The 12,050-nt window shown below is 40.8% G+C and overlaps 1 protein-coding gene across 14 annotated transcripts in view, besides 1 other annotated feature; it reads left to right on the top strand.

The window, feature by feature from the left end:
• GPATCH8 (G-patch domain containing 8) overlaps positions 1-12,050 on the top strand; it is a 108,126-nt gene that overhangs the window by 74,656 nt on the left and 21,420 nt on the right. For 7 of the 14 annotated variants that reach the window (XM_011524557.2, XM_011524558.3, XM_011524561.3 and 4 more), the window contains 2 exons: positions 4,259-4,402; positions 9,440-9,476. In XM_011524557.2, coding sequence (XP_011522859.1) covers positions 4,259-4,402; positions 9,440-9,476 — 181 coding nt within the window. The remainder of the gene's footprint in view (positions 1-4,258; positions 4,403-9,439; positions 9,477-12,050) is intronic. The other 7 variants (NM_001304939.2, NM_001304942.2, NM_001002909.4 and 4 more) reach the window with 1 other exon arrangement.
• Positions 6,595-7,568: an enhancer, noted in NCBI's record as "H3K27ac-H3K4me1 hESC enhancer chr17:42498551-42499524 (GRCh37/hg19 assembly coordinates)". NCBI's record gives its function as "activates a minimal SCP1, AML or CMV promoter by ChIP-STARR-seq in primed H9 embryonic stem cells {active_cell/tissue: H9 hESC(primed)}" and the evidence as "EXISTENCE:reporter gene assay evidence [ECO:0000049][PMID:30033119]".

The following is a 12,050-nucleotide window of genomic DNA, read 5'->3' as shown; positions in this document are numbered from 1 at the left end:
GCTTACTGCAGCCTCGACCTCCTGGACTCAAGCGATCCTCCCACCTCAGCTTCCCGAGCATCTGGGGCTACAGGTGCATGCCACCACACCCAGCTAATTTTTATATTTTTTGTAAAGACAGGGTTTCACCATGTTGCCCAGGCTGGTTTTGAACTCCTAGGCTCAAGCTGTCCACCCACCTCAACCTCCCAAAGTGCTGGGATTACAGGTGTGAGCCACTATGCCTGGCCTCTACAAGTACTTTTTTTTTTTTTAATTGAGATGGAGTCTCACTCTGTTGCCCAGGCCAGAGTGCAATGGTGCGATCTCAGCTTATTGCAACCTCCACCACCCAGATTCAAGTGATTCTCGTGCCTCAGCCTCCCAAGTAGCTGGGATTACAGGCGCCCACCACCACACCTGGCTGATTTTTGTATTTTTAGTAGAGACAGGGTTTCATCACGTTGGTCAGGCTGGTCTCAAACTCCTGACCTCAGGTGATCCACCCACCTCGGCCTCCCAAAGTGCTGGGATTACAGGAATGAGCCACCGCACCCAGCCTACGAGTACTTTTTGAAGGACTTCCCCAGCCTTCCAAGTAACTGGGACTACAGGTGCACACCACCACGCCTAGCTAATTTTTTGTATTTTTGGTAAAGATGGGGTTTTGCTATGTTGCCCAGGCTGGTTTCAAACTCTTGAGCTCAGGTAATCCGCCTGCCTCGGCCTCCCAAAGTGCTGGAATTACAGACATGGGCTACCACGCCTGGCCTATTTTATTTTTTAAGTTATTATGTGGTCTCAAAGTGGGAAATAAATGGATGGATGGATGGATACATGGATGGATGGATGGATATAGGATGGATTATATTTGTGTTGTTCTAGTTACCTTTATAACTTAATGAAATTACCCATGTTTGAGTGTCCATTATTTTCGTACTATAAGCAATAAAAAGCTAGCTTGTTTTCTCTTCTTTCCTCTTCCATTTTAAAAACTCTATCATATAATGTTAATAAGTAAAATGGCCATTCTTAGTATGTGGCTTCATACCATTTAATTATTATATTATGTACACTACTTCTATTACTTAATAATTTTCATGTTTTGTAAAGTTCTTTTTACTTCTATTGAGTTTGCAGAAGTAAGCAAACTCAAATTCATATCTGCTTCTGCCTGCCCACCCAGTTTTTTATTATTTGTATCATTTCTATTTTCTGACAGCATATAACATACATAGTTATATGTATATGTTACAGTTATATGTATATACTTTAATAGCCCTATTTCTTTTAACCTTAGTTATAGGAGTAAATGGTTTTAAAGCAGTCTGCCAGTTCTTTTGCTGAGTTTTCTTCTATTATTTCTGAATTTTGTACCCTATTAACTTACTTAAAAGTGGTTGTGCAAACAGTGTTTCTTGAATTATTTATATATATATGTATTTTATATAAACATAAGCCTATAAAAATAATTCACATCCAGCCTTGGGCACCATGATGAAACCCTGTCTCTACGAAAAATACAAAAATTAGCCAGGCATAGTGGCATGCCCCTGTGGTCCTAGCAACTCAGAAGGCCGAGGTGGGAGGATTAATTGAGCCCAGGAGGTCGATGCTACAGTGAACTGTAATTGCACTACTGCACTCCAGTCTGGCCAATAGAGCAAGACGCTGTCTCAAAAAAAAAAAATAGTAATATTAATTTAGGCAATTACATATATATCAACTTATGTATATGTGTGTATATATGTACACATACATATAACTCCATATATACGTGTATGTATTCCCTATATTTGAAAGATACATATAAAATCCTAAGTTAATTCTTTCCTTAGATATCTTATAGTATTTATTGTACCACTGTCTTCTGGAGTTGAGAGAGAGTGTGAGAGAGAGAGAGAGAGAGAGAGAGAGAGAGAGTGTGTGTGTGTGTTGTTGAAGAGATCAAAGGCTGGCCTGATCTTCCCCTTCTTGATTGTTTTTGCCTAGCTGCTGAAAGGAGTCTGTCTTTAAGATTCAATAACTTTACTACACTATTGATTGTCACTGATTGTTCTGGGACCATTTTCATTGTCACACTATGTGCCCTTTCTTGTCCTGTGTAGTTGAGTGGATCTTCCTTTAGTGAGCATGTGCTGATAGCCTTTTTTTTTTTTTTTTTTTTTGAGACAAGGTCTCACTCTGTCACCCAGGCTGGAGTGCAGTGGCGCAATCTTGGCTTACTGCAGCCTCTGCGTCCCAGGCTCAAGTGGTCCTCCCACCTCAGCCTTTCAAGTAGCTGGGACCAAAGGCAAGTGACACCATGCTCAGCTAATGTTTTGTATTTTTGGTAGAGCCGGAGTTTCACTGTGTTACCCAGGCTGGTCTTGAACTCCTGAGCTCAAGCCATCTGCCTGCCTCGGCCTCCCAAAGTGCTGGGATTACAGGCGTGAGCCACCGCACCTGGCCTCAGCCTTTTCTTAGATCTGCCGCAATTGGGCAGAACTTTTTGCTTTTCTCTATGTGCATTCTTTGTACTGCAAATGTTTCCTCATCCACCCTAACCCAAGTTCATCCCTTTGTTCTTCCCAGATCTCAGAAATTCTTGATGAGTGCAAGAGATGTAGGTATATTCATTTCAGAGGATCCTTTTATGTACAGGATATATGTTTTGCCATTTTCTGAAATTGCCACCTTTGGCTTTTTTGATATTGCTTAGCTTTGCCTTGTCTGGCTTCTACTACATTTCCCTCATTCAGGTTCTATAAAGAGCTTAACTTTCCTTCTGTGTGTTTTTCATACTCCAGATCATATCTGTTGCCCAGTTCTTCTGAAAATGCAGTTGGTGGGGTTTTTTTAATTCATAATTTTGTTTTTATGATACCCAAGAAGAAAATCAAAGCTGTTTTCCTATACTGCTGTATTCATACCAGGAACTCTAGTTTTGTTGCTTAAATTTGCAGCCAGGTGTGGGGGCTGACACCTGCAATGTCATCACTTTGGGAGTCCAAGGTGGGAGGATCACTTGAGCCCAGGAGTTCATGACCAGCTTTGGCAGCATAGTGAGACCTCATCTCTACAAAAAATACAAAAGTTAGCTAGGTTTGCTGGTACACGCCTATAGTCCAAGATACTTGGGAGGCCGAGGTGGGAAGATTGCTTGAGCCCAGGAGGTGAAGACTGCAGTGAGCCATGAACTGCACTGTACTCCAGCCTGGGCAAAAAAGCCACAAGTCGTTTAATAGCCAAACAACATGAAACTGTCCGGGACTGTCAAAGAAAATTATTGTGAAGGATTAGATAGGGCAAAAATAACAATGTGCTACACATACTCACTTTTCAGTTTTAATAAGTCTGTCCAAATTAGTTCAGTACTGCCACTCCAGAAAATAATAACCTTTTCTTGTTTACTGATTAAGTAGCTCTTATGGGAGATGATAGAGCTGCTTTGAAACTGTAGATATAGTCTTTGAGATAAGACTTATCTTTTTTAGGTCAGTCTGCTAGAAGGAGTTGCTCATTATGAAAGTAATGCATCTACCCTGCTCTAAAAGTCAAGCAAGTAGTCACTTAGCATTCCTGTCCCTTTCTCATCCTTCTGTGCGACATTAGCAAATGAATATACTCAACTTGCTTTGAGGTATCTTTTAATTGTTTTCTCTTTTTTCCTTTTTGAGATGTCTTTTGATGTCTAGTTTTTAAGTGAAACTGCTGAGGCAAATTGGACTGCCTTTGAGTCAGTCCCACAGTTTTTTGTTGTTGTTGTTTTTCTCCAACCTCCTCTCACATGTAAGAGTCCCACAGTTTTCAATCTCGCTGAGACCAGCAGATAACACATATCTGTGGGTTGGCTTTCCAAGCAGTGCAGCTTATATGTAGAATGACCATAGAATATTTAACTCCATCATTGGCTACAGACTCAGGTAATGCTTTTTTCCTTCGTGTCTGAAAACTAGACTATTAATACAGGTTGTATATCCCTTATCCAAAATGCTTGAGACCAAAGGTGTTTCAGATTTCAGATTTTTTGGGGGTTTTGGAATATTTGCATTATACTTATCAGTTGAGCATCCTTAGTCCTTTTAAACATTTGTTTATTTGAAGACAATTGTTAGTATGACGACACACAGATTACCCACCAAAGTACCACTTGTGTTTCATCCAGCTTTTACTGGTACCACTAAATATTATGAAAAGCCCTTTTTTGTCTTCTCAGATAGACTGTTTTCTCTATAACATTCACTTAAAGTTTTACCAAGTTCATTTTTTGTTTCTTTGTATTTCATGGGTCTTGAAGGATTATGTTGACAAAGAGAAGGCAATTGCCAAAGCCTTGGAAGACCTCAGAGCCAACTTTTATTGTGAACTGTGTGATAAGCAATATCAGAAACATCAGGAATTTGATAACCATATCAACTCCTATGATCATGCACACAAGCAGGTGAGTTGTAGTTACTTGCTAACAGAAGAAGGTACCTATCTATTGTTACAACAATTGGATTTTATGAGTATACCCCCCAAAACTTGGTGTCTATGATTTCTTGTGTCTGCCAATCTTTATCTGCAGTCATCCAACACACTTTGTTTTTTCAGTGGCAGAAATCCTGACATAGACACCACCTCCAGCCCACACTCCCACATATACACTATTTGACAAATTGTGTTTTGTAAATCTTATATAATGTTTTTGCCTTTTATTGATTTCTAAGTTTTTATTTAATTTTGTAATTCAGCTGAGGGTCACTGGGAGCTTTGTTTCCATTTCTGCTCTTAACGCGTTAAACTTTGAAGAGTTATTCAGCAGACTGTTATTTTCAAGTTCCCTACATAAGATTTCATGCTTTATTGGCTACCATTTTCTATTATTAAGTCATTTTGCTATTCAATATACCTTGGAAGTTAGATAAATTTTGAGAAGGAAAATAAAATTAGATGCTATCTTAACTTTAACAAAAAACTCTGTTGCTGCATGTTGAAGAGCTGATAAATGAATTACACTTTGCAGTCTTTGCCCCCTCCCCCGCCGCCACCCCATCATTTTAGAGGAGAAAATTGTACCTAACTAGTTACTGATATACAGAAGATGGCAATAATCCCCCTGGGAGAGTTTAGAAGGGAAAAATAAATTGTTACACCTATAGGACAGTTCTGGCTTGTTAAAGAATTTCAAGCCATTTGATCTTGGGTGACTTTAACATAACTTACTAGGTTTTTGGGGGGTACAATAGTTGTATTTGTTAAACTTGTAAATTTATGAGCATTGGAATGATGTCTCCTAAGCTGGACTTGTTGAACTAAGATTTTTTTTTAGCCTTCATCTTCCACCAACCATAAGATTTCAGTGCACAGGTAAAAGGCAATCTTTGACCAAGTTTTATTCTTACTAGAACTGGAAGAATTTGTAAGCTGGTTGTGGTATTACACTTTTTTGGAACAGTCTCCCCCATTTAAATATACCTAACCAATTTAAGATTCTTCCACTAATGGACTTGTATTCAAGACAGCTTTTCAACTTACTACATACCTTTGGACATTCTTTTCTGTTTTTTTGAGACGGAGTTTTGCTCTTTCGCCCAAGCTGGAGTGCAGTGGTGGATCTCAGCTCACTGCAACCTCCACCTTCTGGTTTCAAGTGATTCTCCTGCCTCAGCCTCCTGAGTAGCTGGGATTACAGGTGCCTGCCACCATGCCCAGCTAATTTTTGTATTTTTAGTAGAGATGGGGCGAACTCCTGACCTCGTGATCCGCCCACCTCGGCCTCCCAAAGTGCTGGGATTACAGGTGTGAGCCACTGCGCCCGGCCGTGGACATTCTTTTAATACATTGTCAGCTTTGCTTGATTCGAAGAAGAGAAATTTATAGAGCATATATATATAGACAAGCTGTATTGGCAGTTACTTTTTTACTCTTTCAAAGACTGGTTTTTCAGGAAAGAAAAATTCAACAGTGAATACTTCTATCCAGGACCTTTTCCAGTTTTTCAAAGTATTTATAATTTAAAAATGTTAGGCCGGCCGGGTGCGGTGGCTCACGCTTGTAATCCCAGCACTTTGGGAGGCCGAGGCGGGCGGATCACGAGGTCAGGAGATCAAGACCACGGTGAAACCCTGTCTCTACTAAAAATACAAAAAATTAGCCGGGCCTGGTAGCGAGCGCCTGTAGTCCCAGCTACTCGGAGAGGCTGAGGCAGGAGAATGGCGTGAACCCGGGAGGCGGAGCTTGCAGTGAGCCGAGATCGCACCACTGCACTCCAGCCTGGGTGACAGAGCAAGACTCCGTCTCAAAAAAAAAAAAATTTTAGGCTAGGCACGGTGGCTCGCACCTGTAATCGCAGCACTTTGCAAAGCCAGGGCAGGAGGATCACTTGAGCCCAGGAGTTCGAGACCACCCTGAGCAATGTACAAGACCTGCCCCCCAATCTAAGCTAATTACAAAAAATGTAATTAGCTGGGTGTGGTGGCACATGTGTAATCGCAGCTACTCCAGAAGCCGAGGTGTTAGAATCGCTTGAGCCCAGGAGTTTGAGGTTGCAGTGAGCCATGATCATGCCACTGCACTTCACACTGGGCAACAGAGCAAGACCTTGTCTCAAAAAAACAAAACAAATAAAAAACTCTTTCAGATTATCTTTATTTAATTAAGACATTTAGTATCTAAGTATATACTCAAGTTTTGGGGTTCTTGAGAATTTTTTCAATTAAGAAATATCTGTGATATATTAACAGAAAAGATATTTTAGGTGGAAAAATGGCATTAGAAAGGTTAGGCCAGGTGCAGTGGCTCATGCCTATAATCCCAGCACTTTGGGAGGCTGAGATGGACAGAGTCACATGAAGCCAATTCGAGACCAGCCTGGCCAACATAGCAAAACCCTGTCTCTACTAAAACTACAAAAATTAGCCAGGCATGGTGGTGCACGCCTGTAATCCCAGCTGCTTGGGGGTTCGAGGCACGAGAATTGCCTGAACCTGGGAGGCGGATTTTGTGGTGAGGCAAGATCATGTCGCTGTACTTCAGCCTGGGTGACAGAGCAAGACCCTGTCTCAAAAAAAAAAAGAAAAAAGAAAAAGAAAGAAAGGTTACACACTAGTCGATGACTTCAGAGTCAAGTTTTAACTAGAAAAGAGGCCAGGTGCGGTGGCTCGTGCCTGTAATCCCAGCACTTTGGGAAGCTGAGGGGGAGTTCACCTGAGGTCAGGAGTTCCAGACCAGCCTGGCCAACATGGCGAAACCCCATCTCCATTGAAAATACAAAAATTAGCTGGGCATGGTAGTGTGCACCTGTAGTCCCAGCTTCTCAGGAGGCTGAGGCAAGAGAATCACTTGAATCCGGGAGGCAGAGGTTATAGTGAGCCGAGATCGTGCCACTGCACTCCAGCCTGGGTGACAGAGCGAGACTCCATCTCAAGAAAAGAAAAAAAAGGTTTTTTTGTTTGTTTGTTTTTCTTGAGATGGAGTTTCACTCTTGTTGCCCAGGCTGAAGTGCAATGGCGCGATCTCGGCTCACTGCAACCTCCGCCTCCTGGGTTCAAGCGATTCTCCTGCCTCAGCCCCCAGAGTAGCTGGAATTACAGGCATGCGCCACCACGCCCGGCTAATTTTTGTAAAGAAAAAAAAGTTTTAACTAGAAAACAATAGGCTGGGTGTGGTGGCTCACACAGTATAATCCCAGCACTTTGGAAGGCCAAGGCGGGCAGATCAGTTGAGGTCAGGAGTTCAAGACCAGCCTGTCCAACTTGGTGAAACCCCGTCTCTACTAAAAATAAAAAAAATTAGCCAGGCGTGGTGGCCTGGCTAGTAGTCCCAGCTGCTCGAGGCAGGAGAATTGCTTGAGTCTGGGAGGTGGAGGTTGCAGTGAGCCAAGATGGCACCACTGCACTCCAGCCTAAGTGACAGAGCAAGACTCCATCTCAAAAATAAAGAAAAAAGTAAACCAGGAAAAAGTATAATTCAAACTTCAATAATGTATAGACTTGCCTTTTAAGGGAAAAAAAGCAAAACAGATTTACAATGTAATAAAATTCACATTGACAGCATTAATGTGTTGTATGATAATGTTTTAGTGACACTGTCCTCAACCTGAATGTAGTAGAAATTGTTACATCTTTGGTTCATTTGAATTTGACATGTTTATTCTCCTGCACACCTTGTGTTACCTCAGCTCTCCCACCACTTTTCTCTATTGCATTTGCTCTCAAACTAGGGAGATTTTGTCACTCTGGAGGCACTTGGCAATGCCTCTGTACATTTTTGGTTGTCCCAACTAAGGGTGTGATACTACTGGCATCTAGTAGGTTGAGGCCAGCAATGCTGGTAACATCTACAATGCACAGAAAAGCTCCTTGAAACAAAGAGGCAAAATGGCAGTTAATAGTGCTGCAGTTGAAAACCCTATTCTATCAGAATTAATTAAAAACTTTCGTATATATATGATATTGTGGTGTCATTTGACCTTAGTACAAACAAATTATTGTCATTTTAAGTCCCAAGTTATGTTGTAAACATTTATAAAGTGCTCATCTAGGTGATCCAGAATATTCACTTATTACTCTTCTTTAGAGTACCATCAAAATAAAAATACAAAATTAAGGGTTACCCATGGAGAACTCATGGACTGCCTGTTCACTAATACAGAATATATATCTGTGATCCCTGGTCTAGGAAAAATCTTTAGCTGGTATGATGAATGAATGCATGTGAGTTTATTTCTTCATCTTAAAAGCTCATCTTACGCATTAAAAAAAAAAAAAACCATGTAGTACAAGTTTGGTTTTGGTTTTGGTTTTTGGTGAAATGTTCTTCATTTGCTTGAAAGGTAGGCTTTTTCACCTTTCTTCATACTGCTGTTCTAATGCAAACAGTAGGATCTCAAAACAGAATGTTATAAATATATAAACAAAAGAAGCACAGCACTAAATTTTTCATAGTTCGTCTCTTCCCTGAACTTGGAATGTCTGAGGAACCCACTGGGTGCAGTGGCTCATGCCTATAATCCCAGCTACTGAGGAGGCTGAGGCAGGAAGATCTGTTGAGGCCAGGAGTTCAAGGCTGCAGTGAGCTATGCTCGTGCCACTGCACCTCAGCCTGGGTGACAGAGCAAGACTCTGTCTCTCTAAAAAAAAAAAAAAAATTACCCTGATGTGGTGACACGCACATGTAGTGTAAGTCCGAGCTACTTGTGAGGCTAAGCCAGGAGGATCGCTTGAGCCCAGGAGTTTGAGGTTGCAATAAGCTGTGATCATGCCACTATACCCTAGCCTGGGTGACAGAGCAAGACCCTGTCTCGGACAACAAAAAAAAATAATTTCTAAGGAATCTTTAATTGACCTTGGTACAACACAGCCACATAACCCCTAACAGGAGGAAGGACATATTTTTCATTCCTCTTTGATGGACATGAACTTAACATACAAATGGACCTACCATTTTTCCAAATTCATGCTCTAAAATCATAAAGACACCCTGTCTTGTCTTCCAGGAAGGCACACAGGATTATTATGAATCTGAGATAATAGGTAAGTACTTTCAACCCTGTATTAGCAATCCCTAGTTTGCATCTTCTATCAGATTTTCACCATTAATATTTTTCAGAGAAATAATGTATTACGTTAGTAGTAAACTATAGTAGAGGCAGGATCCTAAACATACCCTTCTCTTTAATAAGCACAAATAATCTCTCCAAAAGGAGCTATATGGTCACCCTCATTCAAGGTTTGAGTTGTTTTTTTCCTGACAGGATGCGGGGGTGTTATGTGCCTCTTTATATTCACTAGTTTTTCTCAGGTTTTCCAAGATTTTACGAAGAGTTGTTAACACAAAAATATTAAGACCCAGCTTGATCTTCAGAGATACAGAAGCTGATTAAGTATTTTGGCTCTTTTCAGTAGTTTAACCCTAGTTTTCAAGTGATCGATGTTAATACATTTTGAAATCTCTAAGAGTAGGCCTTTCCATTTCTGAAGAAATCCAATATATGATTCCTTTTTACATGAGTTAATTCTGATAACACCTGAATGCTCAATAGACATTAGCACTGACTAGCCGGGCGCGGTGGCTCACGCCTGTAATCCCAGCACTTTGGGAGGCCGAGGCTGGCGGATCACAAGGTCAGGAGATCGAGACCATCCTGGCTAACATGGTGAAAACCCCTCTCTACTAAAAATACAAAAAAGCCGGGCGTGGCAGCACGTGCCTGTAGTCCCAGCTACTGGGGAGGCTGAGGCAGGAGAATTGCCTGAATCCGGGAGGTGGAAGTTGCAGTGAGCCAAGATCATGCCACTGCACTCCAGCCTGGGCGACAGAGCAAGACTCCATCTCAAAAAAAAAAAAAAAAGACATTAGCACTGATCATCTCCTACCTTTGTTGGCTTAGTGTAAGTTACAGACAAATTTGATACTACAGATTTTTCTATCCCTACGTCCTTGCCTCCTTAATTATTTTGCATATCTTTAAAAAATTTGTCTGCTGATGGATATGACAGTAGAATCATTTTCTTTAGCATTTCAAGAGGCCTAAAATTCAAACTCCAAAGAATATTGTTTCCCAAAAGTAAATTAATTAATAGCAGCACCACCTTTATAGTCAATCCTCCTTCCCTCCCTCCCTTCCTCCCTTCCTTTCTTCCTCTTTTTCTTTTCTTCTCTCTCTCTCTTTCTCTCTTTTTGGCTGCTTCCTTTGTACCTTGTTACCTACTCAGGATTTTTCTTCCAATCTTAGCCTCTTGTTTGTGCCACTAAAGGTCCTCCTAGTACATAAACTAGAGAGGTCACAAATTATCTCATAGATATATTTTATCTGGCCTTCACATTATTAGTTTTTCCCTTTTTAATTTCAGTTGATTCCCAAATTTTAAAAATTCAATTTTACATAATTTAGGCTTTGGCTTATCTTGAAAAATTAAAATTATCAGACAACATTGGGCCTACATTTCAACATAACAGTTGACTAAAGCTGAACAGTTGCCATCTCTTTGCTCATTCTGCAACTAGCTGTGATCTCCACTTCATCTTTTCTCTTACACCAATCTGTGTGACTCATTATGTTACCTGCCAAACTCCTGTAAACATTTGAATTTGTGACTCAGGCCTATGCTTTTCCTTCCTTCCCACACAGGTTCCCGTGGCTTCTGACTGATACTGGGGAACTGGCACATTGAAAAGCTGCCTCCTTGCTAATAGTGTTGGGACCAACTTCCTTGCGATTTCAGTCTCTGGTAGTCTGATCCAGATTATCAAAATCTGGTACTGTAAAGCATCTTCAGAAATTCTTTAGGCCAAGCGTGGTGGCTCATACCTGTAATCCCAGCACTTTAGGAGACTCAGGCGGGCAGATCACTTGAGCCCAAAAGTTCGAGACCAGTCTGGGCAACATGGCAAAACCCGGTCTCTACAAAAAATGCCCCCAAAAATTAGCTGGATGTGATGGCAGTTGCCTGTGGTCCCAGCTGCTAGAGGGGCTGAGTCTATTAATACATGATTTAGTTAACTTTGTCTAAACTGTTTGCAACTGCTTTTTGACAGGATTGACCTTGTCTAAACTGTTTGCATCTGCTTTTTGACAAGATTACTTACTCTTACTTGACACTTGACGGTTTCATTACGCAGTAACATAACATTACCAAGGAACAGAAATTTAGAGTTTTCCTCAGGAGAATCATTTGAGCCCAGGAGGTGGACATTGCAGTGAGCCAAGATTGTGCCACTGCACTCAAGCCTGGGTAATATATTGAGCAAGGCCCTGTCTCAAAAAAAAAAAAATTCCTTTAACTGTAGGATTCAGTATCTCAGTCAGAGGAATATGCTTTTAGCCTCCCTCTTCTTTCTGCTAAAATACCTGTAGTATGAAAACTCCTATACTTTTTACATTTTCTAAAAGGACTAAAGTCTTATTTAATTCCAAGGTCTGTTTCAGTTGTGAACAAAAACAGTAGTTCCCTGAGCTTTAAATAGCAGAACTAAAACAGATGAAGCCTCTAGCAGCCACCAGTGACTGTATTCTGATTTGTACAGGATATAATCTGTTAATACATGATTTAATTAACTTTGTCTAAATTGTTTGCAACTGCTTTTTGACAGGATTACTTATTCTT

This window comes from Homo sapiens, chromosome 17 (assembly GCF_000001405.40).
Source record: "Homo sapiens chromosome 17, GRCh38.p14 Primary Assembly".
NCBI lineage: Eukaryota > Metazoa > Chordata > Mammalia > Primates > Hominidae > Homo > Homo sapiens.
This window is presented reverse-complemented; position numbering and strand designations above follow the sequence as displayed.